The sequence below is a fragment of the Homo sapiens genome, chromosome 14 (assembly GCF_000001405.40).
Source record: "Homo sapiens chromosome 14, GRCh38.p14 Primary Assembly".
Lineage (NCBI taxonomy): Eukaryota > Metazoa > Chordata > Mammalia > Primates > Hominidae > Homo > Homo sapiens.
In genome coordinates this window covers 75,520,660-75,548,591 of record NC_000014.9, presented here as the reverse complement: position 1 = coordinate 75,548,591, position 27,932 = coordinate 75,520,660, and the positions used below count along the sequence as shown (strand labels likewise).

The 27,932-nt window shown below is 45.1% G+C and overlaps 1 protein-coding gene across 1 annotated transcript, besides 6 other annotated features; it reads right to left on the bottom strand.

Annotated features, from left to right (window-relative positions):
• Nucleotides 1-1,599: 1,599 nt before the first annotated feature.
• BATF (basic leucine zipper ATF-like transcription factor) lies at nt 1,600-26,123 on the bottom strand. The gene is made up of 3 exons (NM_006399.5): nt 25,847-26,123; nt 23,404-23,508; nt 1,600-2,130 (listed from the first exon to the last, which is right to left on the bottom strand). Exons 1-3 carry the CDS (start codon nt 25,907-25,909, stop codon nt 1,921-1,923), a joined length of 378 nt encoding a protein of 125 aa, NP_006390.1. The 5' UTR covers nt 25,910-26,123; the 3' UTR covers nt 1,600-1,920.
• Nucleotides 8,988-9,037: an enhancer, noted in NCBI's record as "active region_8756". NCBI's record gives its function as "activates an Ori minimal core promoter by ATAC-STARR-seq in GM12878 lymphoblastoid cells {active_cell/tissue: GM12878}" and the evidence as "EXISTENCE:reporter gene assay evidence [ECO:0000049][PMID:35858748]".
• Nucleotides 9,328-9,387: an enhancer, noted in NCBI's record as "active region_8755". NCBI's record gives its function as "activates an Ori minimal core promoter by ATAC-STARR-seq in GM12878 lymphoblastoid cells {active_cell/tissue: GM12878}" and the evidence as "EXISTENCE:reporter gene assay evidence [ECO:0000049][PMID:35858748]".
• Nucleotides 9,458-9,507: an enhancer, noted in NCBI's record as "active region_8754". NCBI's record gives its function as "activates an Ori minimal core promoter by ATAC-STARR-seq in GM12878 lymphoblastoid cells {active_cell/tissue: GM12878}" and the evidence as "EXISTENCE:reporter gene assay evidence [ECO:0000049][PMID:35858748]".
• Nucleotides 9,738-9,952: a silencer, noted in NCBI's record as "fragment chr14:76004983-76005197 (GRCh37/hg19 assembly coordinates)". NCBI's record gives its function as "represses an EF-1alpha promoter that drives an FKBP-Casp9 reporter gene in an ReSE screen in K562 erythroleukemia cells {active_cell/tissue: K562}" and the evidence as "EXISTENCE:reporter gene assay evidence [ECO:0000049][PMID:32094911]".
• Nucleotides 14,921-14,990: an enhancer, noted in NCBI's record as "active region_8753". NCBI's record gives its function as "activates an Ori minimal core promoter by ATAC-STARR-seq in GM12878 lymphoblastoid cells {active_cell/tissue: GM12878}" and the evidence as "EXISTENCE:reporter gene assay evidence [ECO:0000049][PMID:35858748]".
• Nucleotides 25,826-26,155: an enhancer, noted in NCBI's record as "active region_8752". NCBI's record gives its function as "activates an Ori minimal core promoter by ATAC-STARR-seq in GM12878 lymphoblastoid cells {active_cell/tissue: GM12878}" and the evidence as "EXISTENCE:reporter gene assay evidence [ECO:0000049][PMID:35858748]".

Genomic DNA, 27,932 nt, shown 5'->3' with positions numbered 1-27,932 from the left:
CAATGTGCCATCAGAGGCTGTTGGGTTGGACTCCTCCCAAGGGGCTGTGACCCCACCACCTGCTGGGATGCAGCTCATCCAAACTTCTATGGCATTTAATAATCACAATAGCCCAACACTGGCATCATCTGAGAGGGGCAGGAGAGACACACACAGGGGAGGTCTAGAGTTGAAACTTGGCCTCAAACCGGCCAGAGTGGTTGGCCAGCGGGTTCAGGGGGCACTGACACAGGGAAGCAGGACTTCTCCTCCCTTCTGTCACCCCATGAGGGATGCCACCGGGGAGGCAGCAGGCAGAGGCTGTCCCTCTAAAGGACAAATGGATGAGACTGAGGGTGGCTACTGAAGGAGCTCAATCAGGTGGGCGCCTGGCACAATGATCTCCGTTGCTTTTGTCTCCAGCTGGCTCAGCAGGGGTTGTGTGTGGCCAGGCCCTGCTGCAGGCTTTGCTCGTGGGCAGTGGTGTGGGTAAGGCTGTGTCAGGCAGGCCAGCAGGCACTTGGCCTGGGGATCTCTGAAGAGCAGGGGGGTGGAGCATGCTGGTTTCAGGCTCTGCCAAACTGAAGATGACCCTGTGTTCCCTGAGCCCTCAAAGTGCTCAAATGGCAGCCTGCGGAGCCCTGCGGGGACAGGACAAGTCCTGTGCTCTGTATCACCGCCTTCTAAGGGAGGTGGAGTCTTCAGCAGGACATGTACACCACTGGCAGAGAAGTCCCTGTGGACCCAAGCTGCATGTTGCCCCTTGAGAGCATTAGGAAGACACCGCCTTCCATGTGAAGGGCAGCCTGGCACAGGGCCTGGTTGCAGCATCCGGAGACTTGGCTGTCAGGATGGAGCCAGTTGGCTGGGTGAGTGGAGTCATGAGTGGGAGACGAGAAGGTCAACCTGACTTACCACCTCACCAGGTGAGGCCATCCTGCACTGGGCCTTCTCCCGGACTAGGGGACAACCTGCTCATGGTCTAGAAAGCAGTGAAGAATGGAAGGTGGGAGGTCACCGTGAGGGGAGCATGGGAGGGCAATCCAGAAGACACCTAGGCTGGGCATGGTGACTCATGCCTGTAATCCCAGCACTTTGGAGGCCCAGGCGGGTGGATCACTTCAGGCCAGGAGTTCGAGACCAGCCTGACCAACATGGTGAAACCTTGTCTCTACTAAAAATAAAAAAATTAGCTGGGCATAGTGGTGCGTGCCTGTAGTCTCAGCTGCTAGGGAGGCTGAAGCAAGAGGGTCTCTTGAACCTGGGAGTCGGAGGTTGCAGTGAGCGGAGATCGTACCACTGCACTCCAGCCTGAGCCAAGATCTGAGAAATTCTGTCAAGAAGAAGGAGGAGGAGGAGGAGAAGGGGGAGAAGAGGAGGAGGAGGAGAAAGGAGGAGGAGGAGGAGGAGAAGGAGAAGGAGAAGGAGAAGGAGACACCTAGAGAAGGAATTGAAAGCTTCCCAAGTACATCAATAAACCATGGAAAAGAGGAGCTGTTAGTGGAGTCCCTAGAGCTCTTTGAGGGTACTAGAGTCCAAAAAACAAAGAAGGTCCCAACATCGCAGAATTTAGAGTGTCAAGGGACAGGGTGAAAGAGAGAAACTGCCTTGTCAGACTGGTTTCTTTTAAAGCATTTATTTAGAAAAATAACCGTTCCCTGCCCGCCTTGCTCTGTGCCATGGGACTTGAGCATCTTTCTTAATACTCTTCTGCATTGGGCCTGCAACCCACAGTGGTGGGGTCCAGCACACGCCCCTCGAAACGCTGCGGCACTGCTGGGAGGCCTCACGCCCTTCCAGTCGTGACAGTTCCCGTGTTCACTCCTTGTCCAGGCCTCTGTCTCCGGGTCTCCAGGTGGACAGGGGCCTCTGCGGGATGGGCGCAGCTCTGCCACAGTCTGTGTGCCCCTCCCGAGGCTCTGCTCTCCCCGCATCGGAAGCTCAGGGCTGGAAGCGCGGGGAGCTGACATGAGGTTGGTGGAATGCGTGGGCGCTGTACACCACCTCGGGGGGCGAGGGCGTGCTGGCGGCCAGCACCGAGCACAGGGGCTCGTGGCTGTTCAGCACCGACGTGAAGTACTTCAGTTCCTCTGTGAGCTGCTTGATCTCCTTGCGTAGAGCCGCGTTCTGTTTCTCCAGGTCTTCGCTCTCCTGTAGGGGTGGGGATCAGCACCGGAGGTTAGTGTCTAGGAAGGAGGCAAGGTGGGTGGGGTGCGGAGGGACACAGGAGGGGCCAGATTAGTTGTTCACTAGCACAGCCATGGAGAAGGGCACCAGAGAATTTTCCTGCACGTGTGAATGTGTGCACAAGTGTATATATGTTTGTAGGTGTGTATGGGCGCGTTTACGTAAGCACATGGGTGGGTGTGCATGTATACACATAGATATGAGGCTGAACCACGTGAAGCTGCTGATATTTGTCTGTTGTGACCTATAAGAATAGCAATTTCAGGCCGGGCGCGGTGGCTTACCCCTGTAATCCTAGCCCTTTAGGAGGCCGAGGCGGGCGGATTGCCTGAGGTGGGGAGTTTGAGACCAGCCTGGGCAACGTGGCAAAACCCTGTCTCTACTAAAATACAAAAACAGAAATTAGCTGGGTGTGGCAGTGCGCCTGTAGTCCCAGCTACTCAGGAGGCTGAAACAGAAGCATTACTTGAACCAGGGAGGCAGAGGTTGCAGTGAGCCGAGATTGAGCCACTGCACTCCAGCCTGGGCAACACAGCAAGACTACATCTCTCCTCCCGGCAAAAAAGCAATTTCATATGGTTCAACCTGATAGAGGGGTGTGTGTGAGTGTGTTCCTCTGCGTGTATGCATGTAGGGGTCTCTGTGAGGGTGTGTGGGTGGGAGGTGGCGGGAATACAGCAAGGGAAAGCAGCTGGCAGGCCAGAGCCTAAGGAAATGGAAGGTCGTTTGTGAGAACGTCTTACACCAGTTTCACTCTTTTCCACTGTGTTATGCCACGTGTTTTCCAAAAGCTCCCGGTGTCTGCATTTCGTCTTACAAATAAAGTCACTGGATACTTGTCTACTGCACCCAGATTCTAGAATGCTCAGGGTCTTTATAAATAGTAAATGGGGCCAGGTGCGGTGGCTCATGCCTATAATCCTAGCATTTTGGGAGGCGGAGGTGGGTGGATCACCTGAAGTCAGGAGTTCGAGACCAGCCTGGCCAACATGGTGAAACCCTGTCTCTAAAAATACAAAAAAAAAAAAAAAAAAAAATTAACCAGGCGTGGTGGTGCACACCTGTAATCCCAGCTACCCGGGAGGCTCGGGGAAGAGAATTGCTGAAACCCAGGAGGCAGAGGCTGCAGTGAGCCGAGATCATGCCACTGCACTCCAGCCTGGGTGACAAAGCAAGACTCCATCTCAAAAATAAAAATAAAAATAAAAATGAAATAAATAAATACTAAATGGTCAAAGTCTGCTACAACGTTTTGTTCCACCCTGTCCGGCCTACCAGAAAGCATTCTGACGGTATTTTGGGGGTGTCCCAAGCCTGTGAGCTTCTCTTTTTTCTGGAAACTCTTTTCCCTGTTGCTTGGGGGAACCATCAAATACATGCTAATCAGAAAAATGCCTGCTAAGAAGTGCTGATTTCTGATCACATCATTAATTAATCAACAATTGCAATCTGGTAATTAGCAATTATGGAAAAGCAATCCCATCCTCAGAAAGCCCAGGAGATCGCAATTCCGGTATAATTTTAAGGTTTACATTATTCGACTCAACCAAACAGACTTTCTCTGCTAAGCATTGGTAACCACAGAGGAAAGGCAAATATCATTGGAGATGCAAAAAAAAAAAAAAAAAAAAAATTTCAGTTCAAAAGGCAACCTGATATTTGGAGACCAGGTCTTACCTTTCTAAATCTATTTGGATTAGGTCAGTATTTCCCAAACTTGCCATATCATGAGAATTAATTTGAAGGCTTGTTAAGAATAGAATTTCAGGCCCATCCTAAAATCTAGGAATGTGAATCAGTGGTTTTGGGATTTGCGGAGTGAAGTCTGCAGATCTGAATTTTTTTTTTTTTTTTTTTTTTTTTGAGACAGTCTCACTCTGTCACCCAGGCTGGAGTGCAGTAGTGTGATCTTGGCTCACTGCAACCTCTGCCTCCCAGGTTCAAGCAGTTCTCCTGCCTCAACCTCCCGAGTTGCTGGGATTACAGGCAGGCACCACCACGCCTGGCTAGTTTTTGTATTTTTAGTAGAGACGGGGTTTCACCATGTTGGCCAGGCTGGTCTTGAACTCCTGACCTCAGGGGATCTGCCCACCTTGGTCTCCCAAAGTGCTGGGATTACAGGCGTGAGCCACCATGCCTGGCTGCAGAGCTGAATTAAAAAAATAATAATAATTTTTTTTTTAAATCCTAGCCACTAGACTACTAGGGAGTGAAATTTGGATTTTTAACTAGTGCCACAGGTCATTCTAATGATCAGGCAAGTTGGAAAGCACTAGTTAAATATTATTTTAAATTTGTTTTAATTATTCAAGCACTTATTAAATGCCTATTTGTTAATGCCTGGCTCAATGCCTGGCACATAGTATGAACTCAGATGTTTGTTGACTGACAGACTTATGACATCATCTGCTGGAATGAAGAAGGTAACTCAAAAATAGGGTGGGTGGTGAGCAGATGTAAGATAACTTGACATTTAAAATTTGCCCTAAATAGGCTGGGTGCAGTGGCTCACACCTATAATCCCAGCACTTTGGGAGGCCGAGGTGAGAGGATCGCTTGAGCCCAGCAGTTTTTTGGTTTTTTGGGTTTTTTTTTTTGAGACAGTCTTGCTCTGTCTCCCAGGCTGGAGTACAATGGTGCGATCTCAGCTCACTGCAACCTCTACCTCCTGAGAGCCCAGGAGTTTAAGACCAGCCTGTGCAACATTATTGAGACCCAGTATCTACAATAATAAAAATAAAAGAAAATTAGCTATGGAGCACCAGGGGTTGGAGGCTGCAGTGAGCCATGATCATGCCACTGCACTCCAGCCTCACTGATGGAGTGAGGTCCTCTCTCAAAAAATAAAATAAAATAATAAAATAAAATTTGCCCTAACGAATCCATCAGGTGCATGAGCTGTAGGCTAATGAGGTTAATCGGTTATACTGTCAATCATCTTAAACCCCACATCCTGGGGGGGGTCTTTCTAAATGGCAGAGAAGCATATACCAACATGGCCTTGCTCATCAAGCCAGGTTCCATCATCTGTGAAGGACAGACACAAGCATGCTCAGCCTCAACCTGGCATTTCTTGAATGGGGCTCTGAGCTAGAAAGTGTGCCAAGGTCAGTACAAAGGAAGCCCCTCTAAAACGGGGCAGAGGAGTTATCAAGAGCCACGATGATGGAGTCACAGCCCTGCCTTCTGCAAGGTGTGGCCGGCTCATTCATTTTACCATTTGGGTATTTCCTGGCACATCCCAGAAGGAGGGCATCCCCTCTTTACCGAAAGGTAAGATCAAGCAACACGATGAGACTAGGGGGTGTTGGTAAGACGGGAACTGGGGGCCGGGAGTCCTGGCTCCTTCCTCTAGCCCTTTTCTTCGCCCCCTCTGAGAGTTTCCACTGGTGACAACATTTACTGTAAATTCTGTGCTCTGAAGAGCCTGGGCAAACCCCGAGGCAGAAGGGAGGGCCACTCTGACCTTCTCCCCGCCTAGAGGCTGGCCCAGCTTTCGGGAAGTGACAGCGGGTCCTTCCTCCCTAAGCAAGCTCTGCTGAGCTCACTCTAGCTCTGTCGTCTGCCTCCCCCTCCCTGGCTTGCAGATCCCAGAGCTCTAGGCAAAGTTTGTAACCGCTGCCTGCTGCCTCTAACCAGAAAACCACCGCCAGTGATAAGAAACTTGTCTTTACCTTGGGAAGCAAGAGTGCTTCCTGCTAGGGCCCCCAAGAAACCTGCCCTGCCAGCCCAGGGACCGTGCAGCCAGCCTGACACTTATGAGAGAAAGGGTTTGACTTCCCTTGCAGGAGGAAGTGGCTGATCTGGGGCCTCGTCCCTCCATGTCCCTGCTATTGCCCAGTCCCCTCTGGCCCTCCTTGGGGCAGTCATGCCCTGGAAAGGGCTCGCCCAGCTGAAGGGACAACTGGCAAAGGTGGCATGAGAGCAGCTGTTTATCCAGAGGTACAACAGTGACATCCCCTAACAATGAGGGCTGGACACCTAGAGCACAGTGAGGCTGGGAGGAAATGCAGCTTCTCCCATATGCATGTCTTCTGCTACTGAGAGGGGTGGGGGTGAGCCTGCATTTGGGCATCCATGTACCCATCTTTCTCCTATTCAGAATTCATCCAGGTCCATCAGACTCCTCACAATAACGCTCTGTGTGGGATAGGGAAGGTCAGCTGTTATTATCCCCACTCTACAGATGAGGACAACTGAGACCCTGGGACAAACCTATGCCACATACCCTCCAAAATGACCACAGGCTGGTGACAGCTGTGCTATAGGATTCACCTCAAGGCACTTGTTTTCTCAGAAGTTCAGAAACTTTGAGTGTTTGATGCAAAGACTCATTGCCCGCGAGGGAGGCGCAGAGCAGGGCTTGGCTCGGGGCCCTGTGTTCCTTCTCTCACACTGACTGCTTCCCCCGAGAGACTGGAGACTTGAGTGGGCAAAGGTCTCCCGAGAACACTAGAAAGTTGGCCAGGTGCTGTGGCTCACGCCTGTAATCCCAGCACTTTGGGAGGCTGAGGTGGGCAGATCACTTGAGGTCAGGAATTCAAGACCAGCCTGGCCAGCATGGTGAAGCCCTGTCTCTACAAAAAATACAAAAATTAGCCGGGCGTGGTGGCGCATGCCTGTAGTCCCAGCAACTCCGGAGGCTGAGGCAGGAGAATCACTTGAACCTGGGAGGCAGAAGTTGCAGTGAGCCAAGATTTTACCATTGTAGTTCAGCCTGGGCAACCCAGCAAGACTCTGTCTCAAAAAACAAAACAAAACAAAACAAAAAAATAAGTCCTTGGCTACCCTGTTGTCTCCCAGGAGAAAGCTGGGTCTCGGTTTTGGTGACCCACACACAACACAACACAACACAAGATCCCTGAGTCACTCACATTCTTCCAATCATAGAGCTGACCATCTGCCTCCTGGGCTGCATGGAGAGGGGGTCACCTGGCCAGATATTCTGGACAAGGGCTGACTCGAGGCCAGACCTTCCTCCAGACACAGAGCCAGGTCCTGAACTCATGACCACGGTGAGCTCCATCAGCGGTAAATGGGAATAGGAACTTGGGCCCTGGTCCTGGCTGGGTGATCCTCAGTGACTCGATTTCCCTATTCAGCTCCAGTTGCCTCACTTTAAAATGGAAAGACTGGACCAAAACAATGATTCTCAACCTCATCCACACACTGGGGTCCCCTGGGGAGCTTTAGCAATCCTGATGCCTGATTCTGATCTAATAGGTCTAAGGTGTAACCTGGCTCAATTTATACGAAAAAGGTGGATAGAAACCAAAATTTTTTTAAAAAAATAGCCTAGGTTAACTTAACTATCATTTATTTGTTTATTTAATTTTTGAGACAGAGTCTCTCTCTGTTGCCCAGACTGGGAGTGCAGTGGTGCAATCTCAGCTCACCGCAACCTCTGCCTCCCTGGTTCAAGCAATTCTCCCCACCTCAGCCTTCTGGGTAGCTGGGGTTACAGGTGCCCGCCAATACACTTGGCTAACTTTTTGTATTTCTAGTAGAGACGGGGTTTCACCATGTTGGCCAGGCTGGTTTTGAACTTCTGACCGCAAGTGATCCGCCTGCCTCAGCCTCCCAAAGTTCTGGGATTTCAGGCGTGAATCATCCATGCCTGGCCAATAACTAACATTTATTGAATACTTCCGTGTGCCAATCACTCTTTTAAGTATTTTATGGTTATCATTACATTTGATATTTTCAACAAACTTGTGTGGTAGAAAATATTATCTCCGTTTTACAGAAGAGGAAAAACAGAGGAACAGAGAAGTTAAGTCACTGGCTCAAGATCACGCAGCTTGGAAGTTGCAGCACCGGTACTTGAATTGAGGCACTCTGGCTTCAGAGTCTGTGCCCTCCATCCTTTCTTGCCTTTAAAGTCTGTTTAAACGTTATACTGTTTGACAGTTCTCTCCTATGAGATAATTCCTCAGCCCCGGTGGCTTTCCAATTTTATCTTCCCTCTTTTCCCACCTCAGGCAAATCCCTCACCTGTGGGGTCATTTGATGCCACCTACCTCTACCATGAACCGCAAGCAGCTTGGGGGTGGCTAAGGAAGAGGCTTCCTGGGGGCGTGGGAACATTCTGGGAAATCCCCTACTGGAGGGGCTTAGGAGGGGGTCACTCACAGAGCGCTTCAACGATGGGGAATCCCCAGGCAGTTCCCTCACCCGCCGGGAGCCATTAGGGACGAAGACCAAGGACAAGGCTGGCATTTCCTAGCTGGGCCCTGGTGGGGACTGTCCAGGCACCCTGAGCAGGGCTGAGGCTTCCTCCCTACCAGCTCCAGTTTAGTGTCTTGGCCTTCTCCTTGCATTTTCTAATCACAATTTCCAGAAGGGTGAAAATAGTCCCTGTGTATTTTCTCCTCAACAGGACATGTAATCATGTATTGGCAGGGTGACCTTTTGGCTCCCACCTACACTTAAGTGGCGTTCGAAGCTTATCCCTCACACCCAGATATATGTTCAGGCTCCATCAGTTACCAGCCCCTGTACGTCACATGCAGAGGGTGGAGCCCGCCATTCCTGGAGCAGGCTTCCAACTGAAAAGTACGACTCTTCCCAAGCAGCGGGAGGATCTAGGCCCACATCTCCCACCATTCCTGGGGAAATTCACCCCAACTGCTGCCTCTCACCTTATGAAAGGAGAAGAAGAATCACCAAACCACAGATCTTTGCGCTGAATAATGCACGTGTGTGATTCTGGAGGAACCTTCACTTTCATGTCTTAGAGCTGAAGCTCTAGGGCCATAAGCACCTTTGCATTTACAGAAGATTGGCCACATCAGCCGTGCCCTCAGGGACCTGTCTAGTCACAGGGTGAAAAGGCTATCGCCTGGTCCTTGGTTTTCAAGACTATGATTTCATTGCCCTCAAATGTGAAAAAAACTATAGTTTGGTTCATTCAGCGTCCATCCCAAACCCCTTCTGCCTTGCCTTCCTCTAGAAAGACTGGGAAAAGAATTGCTAAAAAAAAAAAAAAAAAAAAAAAAAAATTCCAGCTTACCTTACCTTGTAGCTAGGGGTAGCCATGTGACAGAATTCTGACCAAAGATACGTAAGCAGAAGTACCTGATGGGCGGGAGGGAGGTGAAGGCAGAGCTTCCCTTCCTACCAAAAAGGCACAGCCTGCTCATAAGGACAAAGGCTTCCTTCCTTCAACATAGACTGATGCCGAGAGGCTCGGCACCCATCTCACAGCCTAGAGAATGAAAGCCTCATACTGAGGATGGCTGCTTAGAGAGAAGGAGCTTGGTTCTTCCTTGCTGTAGCCTGGTCTCTCCACTTTTGAACTTCTTGTTACATGAGAAAAGTAGGCCATGATTTGTTGATTCCTCATTTGATGGCTGGTCTCTCACTTGTCTCTGAATGCATGCAATCTTGGCTGATACTGATGCTTCGAGTTACAAAGGTTACCACTAGCAAGATTATCAATGTTCAAAACCAAACAACAAAACAAATAATAACTGCCATCAAAGCAAGGGTTTGAATAGTTTGTTTGTTTGTTTGTTTGTTTTTTGAGACCGTGTCTCGCTCTGTCGCCCAGGCTGGAGTGCAGTGGCACGATCTCGGCTCATTGCAAGCTCCGCCTCCCGGGTTCATGCCATTCTCCTGCCTCAGCCTCCCTAGTAGCTGGGACTACGGGCACCCGCCACCATGCCCGGCTAATTTTTTGTATTTTTAGTAGAGACATGGTTTCACCGTGTTAGCCAGGATGGTCTCGATCTCCTGACCTCGTGATCCACCCGCCTCGGGCTCCCAAAGTGTTGGGATTACAGGCGTGAGCCACCGCACCTGGCCGTTTGTTTTGTTTTAAGCCATCAGGCCACTGTATGTGACAGAGTATCTGTGTACTTACCCACACAATTGCCCCACACTCACTCCACACATTCTGCTCACTCCACACATTCTACTCACTCCACATATTCAGGTACAGACCTGATAGGCTGCAAATGTACTGCTTCTGATTCTCAACCCTGGCTGTGCACACTGCCAGCACCCGGAGAGCCTTAAACAGTCTGGATTCCTGGATGCCAGACCCCCAGAGGTTCCAATTTAATTGTTCTGGAGTGGTTGCAGGCATCAAGACTTTAAAAATGCTTCCTAAGTGAGCCAAATGGGCAAAAAATCATGTTCATAGTGGATTCCTTTTAATAATAACATAAGGCCAGGTGCAGTTGCTGTAATCCTAGCACTTTGGGAGGCTTCTTTGGCAGGAGGGTCATTTGAGCCCGGAAGTTTGAGACCAGCCTGGGCAACATAGTGATACCCAATCTTTACAAAAAATTTAAAAGTTAACCAGGCATAGTGGCACACACCTGTAGTCCCAGCTATTTGGGAGGCCAAGGTGGGAGGATCATTTGTGCCTGGGAGGTGGAGGCTGCAGTCAGCCATGATCGCACCACTGCACTCCAGCCTGGGAAAAGAGTGAAACCTTATCTCAAAATAATAAAAATATAACATAACTATATAGTGTTTGATTTTATTAAATTTGTTTGTTAACAAACAAATTAAATTTGTGAGACTTGCCCAGTTGTGAAAGGCCAAGCCCCTGAAACTACTGATATCCTTAAAGAGTTTATATTTTTACATATTTTCATTTTATTAAATATGTATTTTATTTTATCATTTATAGTATAATATTAAAAAATTTAAAGAGTTGGGAGACTATTTCTAGTTAAAAAAATTTCTAAAACAAAATGTCCATTTAAGCACACTACTATTATATTCTTAAATTGGTGGAAACAATTCTAAATAGTCCAGCACAGTTCATTCATATAATGGAAAGGCAAGAGCTCAGGGATCTATTCGTGTTTCATTAATTATAACTTTAACCGTTTCGTTTCCTTACCATTTACATTGTTGAGCTCTGTGAGGGCAGGAGCTATTATTGTCTTCACTGTTTTGTTCTCAGTGACAAGGACAGTGCCTGCCATAGAGTAAGTGTTCGATCAAATCACGTTGCTTGACTGCCAACTTATAATCTGGAATAATTTTCCAAAATCTGAGATGTGCCTATGAAGAAGGGTCAGCTGAGTAAATCTGTGATGTCCATGAGAATTCCTAGAGAGTGATTAACCACCACTCAAACACTTTAATAGCTTCTACTTTGTAAATCTGGGATACTTCCAAATGAATCCAAGAGATTCATTTTTTCAAAAGGCCTAGGTCAAACCTCTGTTTATTCCCCAAACTGAACCAACAGCGTGGGAGTGGCAGAATTACAACCACTTTAAGAACTTCGTCGTGCCATTTCCCTAGTTCAAATTTGACCCTCTCTCCATTCATACCCAACAAAGGAGACTTGCCTAGTTGTGAAAGGCCAAGCCCCTGAAACTACTGATATCCTTAAAGAGTTTATAAGCAACCAGAAAGAAGAACGTGTGTGTTCATGTAGGATAATATATCTGATTGATTTCTAGGAAAAGGGCAGGCTGTCTGCATTAAACAAAGGAACAGTGTAAAAAAAAAATGACAATATTGCTTTGTTCTTACATTTGCCCTCTCAATTAAACGGTCAAACAGCCTAGTGAGGTGCTATTGCTTCTCAACTTATGATCAGAGTTTAGGTTCAGAGAAATCCCCCAGGCAGGGTTTGAATTAGTTGGGTCCCCACCACATGCCCCATCCAGTTCCTGCTCCTAGCAGCACAATTGCCTTTATTTTATTTTATTTTATTTTATTTTATTTTATTTTAAAGACAGGATCTTGCCCTGTTGCCCAGGCTGGAGTGCAGTGGTGCTATCACAACTCACTGCAACCTCGACCTCTTGGACTTAAGCAAATCTCCCGCCTCAGCCTCCCAAGTAGGTGGGACCATAGGTGCATGCCTGGATATTTAAAAAAAATTTTTTTTTGTAGAGATGGGGTTTCACTGTGTTGCTCAGGCTGGTCTCGAACTCCTGGCCTCAAATGATCCAACCAACTCGGCCTCCCAAAGTGCTGGGATTACAGGTGTGAGCCACTGTGCTCAGCCCTACAATTGCCATTATTACTGAGTTCCTCCTCACTCCCTTATGGTCTTGAACTTGGTCTCCACCTTACCAAGCACCTTTCTGACCTTTGCCTGGCCTCGCAGCTTGGCCTCAAGGCTCTCTAGGCTGAGATCACCCTCTCCCCAGATCTTTCCAGTCTCCTCTTTGATTCACCTTTGATCTCAAATTCCAGGGCCTCAGGAAGGCCTCCCCTGATCGCTGCCCCAATCCCGTCCCTTAGACACTTTCCACATTGCATGATTTCATCTTCTTTGAAGCACTTTACATGTCATGTGATTAGTGTGTTTATTTGTTTTCCAGCCTGACTTCCAACTGACTGTAAGGTTCGTGAAATCAGAGACTCTGTCTGTCCTGTCCCTGCAATATTCTCAGTGCCTAGAACGAACTGTTCCTGGCTGATAAATATTTGTTGAGTAGATGAATCACTTCCGCTGATCTCAGCTCTAGTACTGATAATATGGCCTTTGCTTTATAATTTTCTGTGTCATCCTACTCTCTTAATGATAAGACATATTCTTATGCCAGCTGAGTACCCTTTTTTAGTTACAGGGTCCTCAGTTGCAGGAAATCACATTTTGGTCATAGGAATCCAGTCCCCTCTACTTGACTCTGAACTTTATCACTTCTGAGTTTTCATAAGAGCTTCATGTCATCTTTCTTGGTTTCCCTGTCTAGGGTGACCAGACATTTACTGGGACACCTGTTTTCCTGGTGTAATATTTACAAGTTCCATCTTCCACTCTCGAAGTATTCCTATTTGGGGTATAAATTATAAGGTCTCCTACCAAAACCTGATCCCCAAATTCGAGCTCAGTAATATTGTCTCTTTGTACTTGATGTCCTCCAGAGTTCCTTCAGCTCTCTATTTGGCCATTTTCTTCTGTTTCTTTAAAAATAAAAAAATACAGTATAACTACATTAAAGATATTTTTTAAAAGTTAAAAACGCCCATGATCCTAGTCCCTTAATACAGCTGTTTTCATTTACACATATTGAGATCTCATCCTTTTTGTTGACACAGGGTCTCACTCTATTACCCAGTCCAGAGTGCAGTGATGTAATCAGGGCTCACTGCAGCCTCAACCTCCTGGGCTCAAGTGATCTTCCCACCTCAGCCTCTAAAGTAGCTGGGTGCAAGCTACCACGCCTGGCTAATTATTTTTATTTTTATTTTTATATTTTGTAGAGACAGGATCTCACTCTGTTGCCCAGCTTGGTCTCAAGTCATCCTCCTGCCTTGGCCTCCGTATGTATTGGGATTACAGGCATGAACCATCCCACTTGGCCATCTCATCCTTTTGAACAAACATGCATACTTATTTTTACAAAATTTCAATCATAGTACACATACAATTTGTATTTTGCTTTCTGTCATAACTTTGTCACATCTACATAGTCAACATAATTTTTAATGACTGCATCATCAAATTGATTATCCACAATTTACTTAAAGTGGTCTTCTAATGCTGGACATCTTGGTTGCTATCAAATTGTCACTATTAAAAATAATGCTGAGATGAACATCGTGATGCACACTGGGTTTTGTCTCTGTTCAGTGATTTCCTTGGAGAAATTCCTAGGAATGAAATGAATGAGGCAAAGGAGGCATTCAATCTTCCCAGTCCTGAGAAGTATTACTGAAAAGGGGTCATATCAAGTATATAATGTCACCACTAGCGAATGCTTCTATCCATTTCACTACAACCTCACTGGCATTTAGGTGTTATAATTTTAAATAATTTACTTGTTGCCAATTAGCTTGATGAAGGCTTCTTAATTTCATGTTAATGTTACAGGTTGTCAAGTATTAAGGAGAAAGAACAACTTTCCATGTGTCTTTCTCCTTAGTGTAGCGTTCTCAACTAGGACTGATTTTGCCTTTCCAGGGACATTTAGCAAGTTCTGGAAATATTTTTGGTTATCAAACTAAGCAGGGTGAGGGGGTGTTCTACTGGCATCTTGTGGGTAAATTTTACATTTTACAAGGCACAGGACAATCCCCAACAACAAAGAATTATCGGACTCGAAGTATCAGTTCCACTGGGGTTGAGAAACCCTGCCTTAGTGTGTATCGTTTTCATAATCAGAATAGGAAATTAGGGTATTTTCATTTTGGTAGGAAAAATATTATGTAAGCTTTCTGTTCATTGCCTCTGCCCACTTGTCTATTGGAGTCCTGATGTTTTGCTTTATAAGAGTTTCTTTCTGTAGCATAAATATTAAACCTTCATTTCTTTAATTTGATGCAAATATTTTCCCCAATATGTCACTGCCCTTTCTAATTTTGGATTACAACTTTAAAATCTCTTTAAACAAAGAAACATTTACACTTCAGCCCCTGTCAAGTTTGGACTCACTCTCTTTCTGGTCTCATGTATAGCCGTATGTTCTGGAGCTGATGAGTGTCTAGGCAGTTCAAGTGTTCTGGTTAATGGCCTGCTTCTTGGCCCACCTTTGCAATAGGCCTTATGTAAACACCTGCCTAGTAAAGCTCTGTTCAGCAAAGTGGCATGAAACAAAAGCAGACTGGTGGGAAGGCAAGAGGTTTGGGTTCTTGGGCGTCCTCAGTTTCCTCATTGGAAATGTGGCAAGTCACCCTAGAAGATCTCTGAGTTCCCACTTAATTCTGAAATTTTATCAACAAGGTAGTATGACTATTATGATTGTTATTCCCTCCACAAGCCATCATGTGAACCCGTAGTGGAACCCTCTACAGATATCCCACAATCTGAAGGGGCCTTTATACTGTGGACCCAACCCACCCCTCCTAGGAAGCAGGGGACTAGACTAAGTTCAAAAGAGGGGAGTAAGAAAACCTCTGAGAAGCTTGCACAAGGGCACTCTGGGGAGACTCCCATTCTGCTCAAGAGAAGGAAGTCTGGGTGCTGCTGAGAATAGCTCCATCAAGACATCTGCTGAACAGGCAGCTGTCAGTTTGTGACCTAGGACCATCATCCTATGTAGACAGACAGTCATTCTTTTTTTTTTTTTTTTTTTGAGACGGAGTCTCACTCTGTTGCCTTGGCTGGAGTGCAGTGGTGTGATCTCAGCTCACTGCAAGCTCCGCCTCCCAGGTTCATGCCGTTCTCCTGCCTCATCCTCCCGAGTAGCTGGGACTACAGGCGCCCGCCACCACGCCTGGCTAATTTTTTGCATTTTTAGTAGAGACAGGGTTTCACTGTGTTGGCCAGGATGGTCTCAGTCTCCTGACCTCATGATCTGCCCACCTTGGCCTCCCAAACAGTCGTTCTTTACAGCATCAACACCAGCATGGAGCTGGACTCCCAATTTCCAATATGCCTCCCAAACTTAGCCATGCCGACCCGTCATCGGTAAGACAAGCAGTTAGGGGTGGTGGATTTCCTTGATGTGTTTTCCCTCCCCAAATGAAAATAGCCTAATTTTTAAAATTCTGATTTTTAAAATGGCACACATTCATTATAATAAAAAAGAGAGAAAAGTACCAAGAATAAGATGAACTACCCAAACTCAACCACTCATAACTGCTATTAGCATTTTGGAGAATATCCTTCCGGATATCTCTTTATGCATGCGACCATGCCCAAAACCCACAAATTTTACGTGAAAGGGTTATACTCTGCATGCTCTTTGTAATTTGCCTTTTTCACTTAATGCTGTATCACTGACATCTTTCTATGCTGATAAATACAGATCTACATAATCATTTTTAGTACCAGCATAAATTTTTTTATTGTATGAATGTATCATAATATGCTTCATCTTCTGTTGTAAGCCCCCTGTCAAGTTTTATAGCATTGTTAAAGTATTTACTATTCACAGATAATGATGAACTAAGCATCTTTGTAAATTATTTTTTCTTCAAACTCTGTTGTGTCAAAGGTAATTCCTGTGAAAGATGTTAACATTTATTGCTACACAGACTTCTCAAAAAAGATTTCAATTGACATATTGTATCATTTGATATACCAATTGTATCTATCTATATATAGTACCTATCTATATATGTTGATATCATGATATATATGACATATATGATATCAATTGTACAATGGATATACTGTATTGAAAGTAAACATGTCTTTACTTTCTTGATCACGCCTGATGATGGCTGGGGGACAGTGTAGATTTTGGAGGATATTGCTTAAAAGACAAAAAAATTAATTCATGTAGAGATTCAAGGAAAATATAGGTTAGGGAAGATGAATACATCTTCATCAGAGTTTGAAGAAAGAGGCAGTAAAACTTAATGGTTAGGAAAATGGGTTCTGACGTCAGACAGACCTAGTCACAAGCTGTGTCATCTCCATCAAGTTACTTAATGCAAGGAATTATAAAATACAGCTTTTATGCAGATTAAATGAGATGCTGCAGGGAGAGCACTTGAGGCACAGTGGTTAATACATAGTCGTTTGTTCAATTAACATGGTTTTTTCTTAAAAGAAATTCATAGCAATGGAGACAGAAGGGTCGCATCTCTTTCCATAGATGGTTCACTGATTCTACATTGAACTTTTTAAGGGTGGAACTAGCCTGAACATTCCTGACCTGTGACTTATCTGTGCCAACAAACATTATGGCATGGTCTCCCAGAGAGAGCAAAAGAATTCCAGGAGTGAAATAGGACCGTAAGCATCCTTCTCTGCCTCCTCAGAAGGCCAAGAACAATAGTGCTACCCAAACATCTTTTCCTCCATTACTCAATTTTTCTCCAATTGTAAATACCGTATTTCTCACAGTGTTAGCTCAAAGCTTCATTTAATGCATAATTTATACTCATGACTTTTCTGTCATATATGACAAAGCACATCCCTGGAGCCTGTAAACCTCTCTTTTTTCTTATACTGGTGTGAGACTCCTTCAGGAGGCAGCCCCAGGCAAGCACCTGGCCCACTTCCATCTAAGACAGTACCTAAATCTCAAGCTTTCAAACTTGGCTGTTACTCTCACTTGCTTTCAGCTCCATCCACCAGGCCAGATATGACTTGTCAACAGCTCGGCTCAGGGCTAACACTGCTATTTGCCACTGCTCCCGGCAACTCCACTGATTTTAGCCTTTTCATGAATAAAGCTTCTTAATTGACCTCAGCTCTCTTTTCCACTGATCCTGGTCTTTGACTTGAAATCCTTCCAGCTGTACGGCACCAGATAGCCATGACCAACCAACCAAGATGGCTACACAAAGGAAACGGATTTGCCATCTTTTATCATATAGTACTGTGGACCTTAGAGTCACTCAAATCCCAACTTACAGTTGGTTCTCCCAAGGGCTGAGATATTTATGTATGATGTTCAAAAGATAACGTCAAGATTGAATACTCTTCCATGTCGTGATGGAAGATTATTCAATGTTTGATGTCAAAATTAGAAAAGAAATCCTCCTAATGCATGTGTGGTAATGATCAATGCTGAGAATTTTGATATCTATATTATAAAGATAAAAGCATGTGATAAAAAATCCCAAACTGTATAAAAGGTAAAGAATGCCAAGTATCTCCCTCTTGCTTTAGATCTTTAGTCCTACTTTTCAGAAATAAATATCATTAACAATTTTTTATAATCTATTTGAAAAAGTTTGCATTTATACTTATGCATATATGTAACTTTTTCTTTTTATTAAAAACACAGAAGGGGCTGGGTGCTGTTGCTCACACCTGTAATCCCAGCACTTTGGGAGGCCAAGGTGGGCAGGGCAGATCACTTGAGCTCAGGAGTTCGAGACCAGCCTGGGCAACATAGTGAGACCCTGTCTCTAAAAATAAAAAATAAATAAATAAATAAAACATTAAATTAAAAAACTAATGGTAGCAAACTATGGACTATATTTATGCCTTTTTAACTTAAAGTACAGAAGTGATAATCCTTCCAGATTAGCACATTCAGATGTAACTCATTATTTTAACATATCTGCAATATTCCACAGAATGGACAATAATTTATTGAATCCCTTATTGGTGGATTTTTTTAGCTTATGTTCAGTCTTTCCTATAAGAAACAATGCAGCAATGATTATCTTTACATGTACAGAATTGTATGATGTGTGGATTTGTTTGTGAACACACTCCTGGATGTCAAATTGCTGAGTCGCAGGGTATGTGCACCTATAATTTGAATGGACGTGGGCAAATTGCCTTCTACCAGGGTTATGCAGACTCTACTACTAGCTGTGTGTGATGGTGCCTGCTTCTCCATTACCTTGGCAACATCGTGTATCAACAACATGTTTCATCTTTGCCAGCCTCACTGCTGCTTTAATTGGCATTTTCCTAACTAAATAAGGTCTACCATCTTTTCACACATTTATTTGCCACTTATTTCTCTTTTCTGTAAATTGCCTATTCATAGTCATTGTTCATTTTTCTTTACTTTTTTTTTTTTTTTTTTGACGGAGTCTCGCTCTGTCTCCCAGGCTGGAGTGCAGTGGCGCTATCTTGGTTCACTGCAAGCTCCGCCTCCCGGGTTCACGCCATTCTCCTGCCTCAGCCTCTCAAGTAGCTGGGACTACAGGCACCCGCCACCACGCCTGGCTAATTTTTTGTATTTTTAGTAGAGACGGGGTTTCACTGTGTTAGCCAGGATGGTCTCGATCTGCTGACCTCGTGATCCGCCCGCCTCGGCCTCCCAAATTGCTGGGATTAAGGCGTGAGCCGCCGCGCCCGGCCCATTGTTCATTTTTCTTTTGGGTTGTTAATCATCTCCTATTCATAAGAGCTCTCTCATATAGTAAGTAAACATACCTTTTTTGGTCATATGTATTACAGATATTTTTCCTCAGCTTGTCATTTGCCTTTGATTTTGCATACAGTATTTTGATCTATAAAGAAACTTTTACTTTTTATGAATAAAAGTAATGTATATCAATCTTTTCCTTTATGGCTTCAGGGTTTTATGTTTTATTTAGAAAATAATTCCTCATTCCAAGATAAATTTTTAATGGTTATTTGTCTTTTCAAGTTTCTTTAGCTTCCTTTTTTTAAAAAATTTAACATTTACCATGTTGGCCAGGCTGGTCTCGAACTCCTGACTTCAAGTGATCTGCCCACCTTGGCCTCCCAAAGTGCTAGGATTACAAGCGTGAGCCACCGTGCCCAGCCCATTTTGTATTTATACTTGTGTCCTAGGAGTTGAAATATGTATTTGGGTCTTAAAATCTGAATTTGTTTTTGGGTCTGTTTCCATATTCTATCCTGTTCAATGTTCTGTCTTTTCCACATTGTTTTGATTTCTGTATTTGTGTTTCACTTTAATATGTTGGTCAGTTAATCTTTTTTCATTATACTTCTTCTTTAGAATTTTCCTGGCAATTGTCATATGATTTTTTTTCACTGGAAACTTAGAATAGCTAATCTAGTTCTTGCCCAAATCCCAGAAAACCCTATTGGGTTTTTTATTGGGATCTCATTAAATTTATCAATTAACTTAAGGAAAATTGCTAACTTTACATAAGGTATATCTTTCCAATTATTTGAATCTTTTAAAAATCATTTAGGATACACTCTTCATAATTTTTGTTAAATTATTCCTTCCTTCCATTTGCTGTTGTCATTGGTATTATAAACAGGATCTTTCCTTCCATTAATTTCCTAATTGGTTATGTTTTGCATATAGGAACGTTATTACATTTTGTTTTAATTTTAGAAGCTGACTGCATTCTCTTATTATTTCAAATAATTTTTCAGCTGATTATCTTAGGTCCACTTATTAGCTATTGATATCTTTTAGAAACTAACTGGTCAAGTTATGCCTTTCTCTTTTTTAATCAACATCTGTACTATATACAATGAACCCTACAGTTGTCTGCAGGAGAAAAGGAACTAAGTGTGCAGGGTGCTTGTGTGAGATGCTCAACAAAAGGAGAATTAAAACAGAATTAGATTGTTTGTTGATGTCACAATTACGAAAGGAATCACCGATCCATTTTATGTCAGAGATAGTCAAGGCCAGGGATTTATAACACAATCATAAAAAGAGGCTCTCTCCCTACTCTGTCAATTTTTAAAGCAATCGATGTACAGTGTCTTGGTGCCAGCCATTTATAGGATAGATGCTGAAAATGTCGAATAGTAAGCATCCCACACTCTCACTAGAGGAACAAGATAATTGTTTCAGTATTTTAAGGTTGATAATAGTGACAGCAGTTGAAACTAAGAAAACATACCAGTATATATGAGGCTAGAACCCTAATAGGAATGTGGTCCTTTTTTGATATGGTACTCTCAGTAGCTCCCAAACCCTCATCTGTAAAGCACTGGTAGGCGAGGCCTATGGCCATGTCTGAGGGCCAGAGAACAACCCCAGCATGTGGAGCCAAGCATGGAAAGGAGTCAAGGGCAAACCACACACTGAGCCCTGACACTGGTGGTAAACCAGAAGACTTTTCACCTGAATCTCAGACATAATTAAGAGGATAATGGATGGAGAAGATAGGTGATTGTCATCTCGGAGGAAAGGAAGATGTCAAACCACAGCTAATTTGATGTAGGGCAGATTGAACACGTTGCTGCCAAAAGCTTCTACCTGAAGCCAAGAAACATAAGTTGCATTGGCAGCAGTCCGCAGGCTTGCTGCATCAACTCCGCTGCGACCTACTCATTGGGCAAAAGGTAAAGACGATGCTGTGGTGCTCAAAAGAAAGCAGTGGAGGAGGAATCTGTGTTCAGATGTGGGGAAGATTGGAACATTCTAGAAACTGAGGCTGGGGTGTGGCTATGGATATGTTGACTATATGACTTGGGGCTCTGTGGACCCTCAAGCTCTAGAGATTACCCTAATGTCACATGACTTGTATAATTAGATGAGCTGACTCTTTGGGCTCTGACATTTGTCTTGGAGAGGGAGAGAGCTGATTCAGTGCTGAAAGCCTTGCCGCAGCAAAGAGACATCTGTGTCACCCTCATTAATACGTTCCCCAAGGGTTTGGATGAAGACCAGTGAGTTGAATTTACAGGGAGACAGGGGTGCAGCTTAACATAGGAAAGACTCTTCTGTTCATAAATTGGGAGAGAGGAAGATCTCCAGCCCTAGAAGTGACCAGGCATACAATGGGACCATTGGCTGGAGGTGTTGCAGAGAAGTCTGAAGCATCAAACTTATGTCTAAACTTTCTAGCCTTTAAGAAACCTTTCAACCCTGAGCTTCTGTGATTAAATATACACAAAATGTATATATGTTTTCATATATATATAAAATGTGTGTATAATTTGTGATTATCTTGCTTCTTATGATAATTATTATTACTCTTATTATACTTAAATTTTTGAGTATTTATGAATGACAGGCATTGTGTTGGGCTCTTTAAATGTACGATCTGTATAGGGTAGTTATTGTCATTTTCCATTTTCTAGATAAGGAAACCAAGCCCAAGGGAGGCCAAGAACGTCTCTGTCACACAGATAGTAGGCAGCAGGGCTGGGATTCAATCCCTGTTCTGACTGCTGAGCTGCCGAACTATACTTACATTCCACTTAAGAAAACAGGTACACACTTAAAAAGCTTACAGCAGTTTGCCAGTCTGAGGACATTGTCTACTTGTACACAAGGAAGATTTTATCCTTTTAAATTTTGATTGGTCTGTTTGCTTGCCCTAAAGAATAGTGAATCAGAATCAGACTCTGATAGAGAAAGAGGTAAGGATCATAGATGTTCAAGCTTAAGGTGGTAAACCAGAATGTGGGGACACAGTGAAATCATGGAGAACATACAAGCAGCAGGGCCACCAAAAACTTGACATTCAGACTGTTGAGCACAGTTAGTACAGACTTTCTGTTCATTCATTCTTTCCAAAAAGTTAACAAATAGCTGTGAATTTAATGTTAGTGTGCAATGGAGTGTAAGCTGAATACATTTCAAATAAAACCCAAGCACCCAATCAGAGCTGTTGGTGCAGTCTGCTCTGTTTCCTTGTAAAGCTGAAAGATGCATTATTTCCCCTAAAACTACATCTTACTTACTTATTCTTGATACGGTTAACACAGCCATTCTAACTGGCTGATTATCATGCTAATCTTCCAGATAAATACAAGCTTATTGATTTTTGGTGCCAATTGCACTTTTTCCATGGAAAGGAATTGCTAGGCTATTAGAGGTAAGGGAATGTTTCTGGAGCAAGGGCAGGAAGGTAGAGTTGCTAGGGAAGGGGATGAGGGGATGGAGAGAAAGGAACTAGTGAAGAGTTGGTTGAACAAGAACCATACTGGGGGCAGAGTGAAGAGAGGTAAGGTGGTAAGGTATGAGCAATGGGGAGGAAGCAGTACTTTATAAGGGGCACAGCCAGAACCTAGAAACACCATCTAGGGCCTTGGCCACTGGCGGAACTGCAGTTCAGCACTGCTCAAGGCCCCTGGACCACTCAAGACAGAGGTAAAAGCTTTCTCTAGAAAAATTTGGGACTAGAGGCAACTCAACTAGGATGGTGATCATCCCAGATAAGGGCACTTGAAATTGCATCTTTCATAGACCCCTTGGGATACCATTAAAGACAGAAATTTCAAAATAAGACTTTAATAATGCTCTGAAAAGAGGAATCTGGTACAGCGCCCTGTGAATTTCCTTGTGTCAAATGCAGGGGCATTTGGGTCTCTGCCAAGGGATGCGACTATGTGTGGTCCTTGCACTGCGAGACAATGGGCCGTCCCCAAAGCACTTGATACCTTCTAAATTCTTTCCCAATACAGCTCTGCCTTCTCCCACCCCTTGAGCCCTCCTGGGGTAGAAAGGCCCATTTCTCTGTTCAGCCTCCTGGCCCATTCCCTGCTACAGAGCCTTCTATTTTTTTTTTTTTTTTTTTGAGATGAAGTTTCACTCCTATCACCCAGGTTTGAATGCAATGGCGCGATCTCGGCTCACTGCAACCTCTGCCTGTTCAAGTGATTCTCCTGCCTCAGCCTCCCAAGTAGCTGGGACTACAGGCATGCACCACCATGCCTGGCTAATTTTTTGTATTTTTAGTAGAGACGAGGTTTCACCATGTTGGCCAGGCTGGTCTCGAACTCCTGACCTCAGGTGACCCACCCGCCTTGGCCTCCCAAAATGCTGGGATTACAGGTGTGAGCCACCACGCCCGGACTACAGAGCCTTCTTAAAGCACTCTCACGACAGCTTCCCTTCCCTACCTCACCCCACGGCCCTCACCCTCCACTAACCCACCCCACATACACATCCCCACACAAGCAGAATCAAAGCTATGGTCCAAGGGTTCCCAGATGGCGGAGGGCAAAGCCTAAAGCTCACGAGGATGAAGATTGATCTGAACACTTACCAGGTGCAGGGTGTCGGCCTTCTGTGTCTGCCTCTGTCGGCTCTTCTGGGCGGCAATACGATTTTTCTCCCTCCTCTGAACTCTTCTCACATCATCAGATGAGTCCTGGGAAGCAGAGACGGGGAGGATTACATGGGTCTGCATCTCCCTTCTGAGTGAAAGCAGGCTCTGGTGGTGTGTGGTATCCGTCCAGCCATCCTTCCATGCCTTCGTCTCTGCATGAACCCTCCATCCCTCTATTTACCAAAAGCCTGCACCCGAAGGAGAGCTCTTCTCCATGCCTGCTTACACATTCCCAGGTCTCTGACTTTTTTGACCAATAGCTACAGGAAAAAGAAAAGAGAACTTGAGGACTCAATAGAGCTGTATTTGGCCAAAAAAAAAAAAAATGGTTAAGGCGATGAAGTGTGTTTTATCACCTCTCCTCTGTAGGGCTGCTCCACCCTCGCCCTCTCACTTTTTGGCCTTTAGGCTCTTCTTGCTGTTCTTTTAGCTGTTTTCTTTTTTTCAGACTTTGTTGAGTGCCTACTATATGCCAACCTCTGGGCAAGTGTTCTTTCAGAAGTGCTCTTGTTTAATTCCCCAATGCTGTGAAGTTGATATCATCATTTCCATTTTATATGTGAGGAAACTGAGGCTCTAAGAGTGTGCCCAAGGACTCCTGGTCATCTGAGAGTGCTACATCTTCTGGTGCTGAGCCCAATGGCTTTCCAAGACCCTTCCCCGCTAGCTACTCTGCACCCCATGTGGTCTTCTGCTGCATTCCTGAGCTGAGGGTGCATCCCAGATCTGCCTCCTCTTTCCTTCCGTTGTGCTCAGCCACTGTGACATTCCCCATGGCCCCAGCACAATGCCTGGCACATCAATGCCAAAAAGAACGTTAATGGTGGAGGTGACCTGGCTGTGGTGGGCAGTAGATGGGTGCTTGGTAGGATAAGGGGATCTTTGGGTGTTCTCTAATTACACCCAGAGAGAGGCATGTCCTGTGCCTGGGCAGAGAGGTTAGCTCCAGTTCTCTCCCAGATGCTGCAGTGTAGGTGTAGGAGTCCTGGCAACTCATGCCCTGTTCCCTTCCACGTCTCCCACAGGCTAGAGGGGCACAGATCCAAGGGCAAAGCTCTGGGATCACTAAGTACTGGGCTCACCAACATGTCCAATACTTTCAGGCCTTTGTGGTAGGAGGTCATTGGCATAGATAGGAAGGAAGTGCTCTTCCTCTAAGGGGGATGGGGCACCAGGTTACCATGGAAGCCATGAGTAATTTCCTTCCTAAGAAAAGTACAAACTTCCAGGCAGTCAGAGCCACTCTGACACCATCTTGAGCAGCAGACTGGATTCTGTGCCTTCTAGAGGTCTCCACCCAGACTCATCCCAGCCTGCTGCTCCGTTATTAGAGGCTTAGGATATACGCCCTGTTCAATATTTATATACTTTTATTTTGGCTGCAGCATTTTGAAAACCCTTGTGGATATCTGTGCTAAGGAAAGAATGAAGTTTTTAAACTATGAAGGTTGAGAAAATTTTAACCCACGGATACATGTCGGATGAGAAAGAGGAGGGCTTCCTACAGCAAGGGATGTCAAGAGTGTGGTGCAGAACAAAACCCTAGAAGCTGTGAGATGGGCAGGGCACTCCTTTTTTGGTAATCCTCAAGCTAAAACCTTTGGACTTGGAAGTCACAATCTAGACTCCAAATGCTCCCACAATCCCTATCTCAGTCTCTCTGGTTTCCCCAGAGCTAAGATGAACTACCAGCAAATGTCTTCCAACAAATTTCCAGAGCCACCTCCTCATTCATTTCCTTGCTCCTATCCAGAAGCCACAAGCAAAGAGATATTGGCTGGACCTCTAGCATCTCCCCTTGCTGGCTGTGCTAGCAACAGAGGCAGTGCCCCAGTAGAGAGATCCTTCTATGCTAGCCTGGGTTTCTCCTCCTCCTCCTCCTTCTTCCTCTTCTTCTTCTTCTTTTTTTTTTTTTTTAACTTTTCCCTAACCCCTTTTCTCCCCTTCCCTATTGGCTGTCTCCTGGGAAACTGCATATCTAGGATTTGAGCTGTGCATGCCAGCGGCCCACTTGAAAACTCCTCTCACTTTTCTACAGCCTTGGAGAACAGTAGACTCTTTTCTCTGCATTCTTTGATGTTCATCCTCCTCTTTGCTTCCTAGAAAGCTTTTTAGGGTGGCAACCCCAGTGAGGCAGAGGTGATAGGCAGCCTTGGAAAATGGAGAGAAAAAGGGGCTTTGGCAGAATGGGTGGAAGGATGAGGATCTCTGCCAATATGCACAGCTTAGTAGCAAATTCCATGTCCTAAGTCTAACAGAGTGCCCGTGCAACGAGCCACTTCCTCCATCCTCAGCTCCCTGGGCAGGACAAGGAAGCCTGGCTCTCTTTCCATCCCCCAGGAGAATCAGAAGGTAGGAGAGAGAAAAAGGAGGACTCTACCTGTTTGCCAGGGGGAGGAGAGCGGCTGAAGCTGGAGTCACTGCTGTCGGAGCTGTGAGGCATGGCTGAAATCTTCCGGGCTCTCACACTCAGCCCCAGGCACCTCTGGGCTCTCTTGTCACCAGCTGGGCTCCCTTCCTGACTTCTCCTGGGCCACCAGCCCACCACCCCCTACAGGTGCCTCCTCTGCCTGCCCTGTAGCCACCTCTGACCCCTGCGTCCTCCTCACTCTGGGGTGCAGAGGGACTGCTCCCCAAAGGGACATGTCGCTCGCTTTGGGGCTTGCACGCTCTCTCTCTCTCTTGTGGTTTCTGGTAACTCACGCTGGAAGTCACATGGGCGGAAACTTCAGCGAGTTAGAAGTTAGAGAGAAAAATACATATCTGGGAAAAGACCTACAGAATTATGTGAAAGAAAAAAAAATACAGATACCTTCCGACAGTTTGAAAGACACAGCAGCCCTCTTCAATTGATGAAGATAAAAGAGAAAAACAGCCCAGGCAGGGAAAAACCCCAGCCAGAATTAGCAAGTCCGTCTTCTGTCAACATGGGCAGAGAGGAGAGGACAACCAGGAAAATGTTTCCATTGTCATACGACTTGATTTTTAAACCAAAATAAAGCAAAAACACTGGGATTTCTTTCTGGTTTTCAGCCGAAAGCAGCTGCTCACCCATCTTGTCTTTCCTCACCCCTTAAGTCCAGCCAGCCTCGGGGTGGTCTGGAGATAAGACGATCCAAGGGTATTCTCCTTTCCTGACCATCAAACACAAGGGCTGTGGGAGATCAGAAAGCCACAAGGGAGGTTCTAGAATTGCTGCTCTGAAAGCCTATTAAGCGCCTGTGCTGCTTGGCAGGGAGCTCACACTCTTTAGAGAAAAGATGCCTTCCATATTGAGCAGCTCAAGACAGGCCCTGAATCTTTATGATTCAAGGTCACCTGGTCAGAACCCAGAATGCAGAAACAGTTAAAAAAAAAAAAGAAAGAAAGAAAGAAAGAAAAAGTGAAACAAATACTACACTTGGAGTCAGACCAACCAAGATTTAAATTCTGGTTCTACCACTTTGTATGTCTGTGGCCCTGGGTAGCTCACTTGAGCTATGTGACCTTCATTATCTTCATCTGTAAACAGAGGATGATAAAACCTGCCCTGCCTACCTCTTAGGAATGTGGCACAAAGCAAATGACAACGCGGATTAGAATGCCCCGCAGACTCTGAAGTAAATGACCGAGAGGGTAAGTGTAGGGTATTCCCAGCCTTGCCATGAGCGCATTTGTAGGGTTCTCAGTGATCAATTCAACCCTCACCTGGGCATCGTGGCTTTTTCAAAAGGCCTTACCTTATTCCCAGTATGGCTCGAAGCCAAACATTTGCCTTATTAAATTTTAGGATTGACAGGAAGTTACGGCTCCTAGAGGATTTTTGTATCCATGAGCTGAATTTCTAGACTAAGACAATATTGCCCTAAGGTTAAATTAAGTAAGACAAAATTCCTTTCCTATGGAGGAAAATAAAGCAGGGTTGGAGGTTAGGGAATTCTGGGTGGTCAGAAGGGCCTTGCCCAAAGAGGGGATACCTGAGCAGAGATTCGAAGAAAGAGAGGGAGTGAATGGTGAGTGTCTCAGGGAAGGACATTCCAGGACCTGAGGTGGAAGTGTGCTTGAGTATTGGAAAAAGAGCAGGGGGGCCAGGTAGTTGGATATCAGAGGCAGCAAAAGTGGCAGGCGATGAGGTCAGTGAGGTAATGGCCCGGTCAGGGAGGGCCTTAGAGGCCAACATCAGGATTTTAGCTTTCATTCTGAAAGACACAGTGAGCCCATGGAGGGTTTCCCCTTCCACCTTCATTCTTATCCTCTACCTCAGCTACTATTCATTTCTCCCATAGCAGTTACCCAATTTTATACTTATTTTATTCGTTTACTGATTTATCTTTTTCCTGTTTCCCTCAATAGAATGTTAAAACCATTTACACCTTTATTAATATATTCAACAAACGTTCATGGTGCATCTACCATGTGCCAGGCACTAAGTACTGAGGATACAGTTAGTAAAAAGAAGCTTGACTTTTTGTCTAAATGAGATAGTC

Coding starts and splice junctions, on each gene's coding strand:
- BATF (NM_006399.5), bottom strand. CDS start 25,909: ATGCCTCACAGCTCCGACAGCAGTGACTCCAGCTTCAGCCGCTCTCCT. Junction 23,509..25,846: donor CTCCTCCCCCTGGCAAACAG/GTAGAGTCCTCC, acceptor TCTGCTTCCCAG/GACTCATCTGATGATGTGAG. Junction 2,131..23,403: donor AGGCCGACACCCTGCACCTG/GTAAGTGTTCAG, acceptor CCACCCCTACAG/GAGAGCGAAGACCTGGAGAA.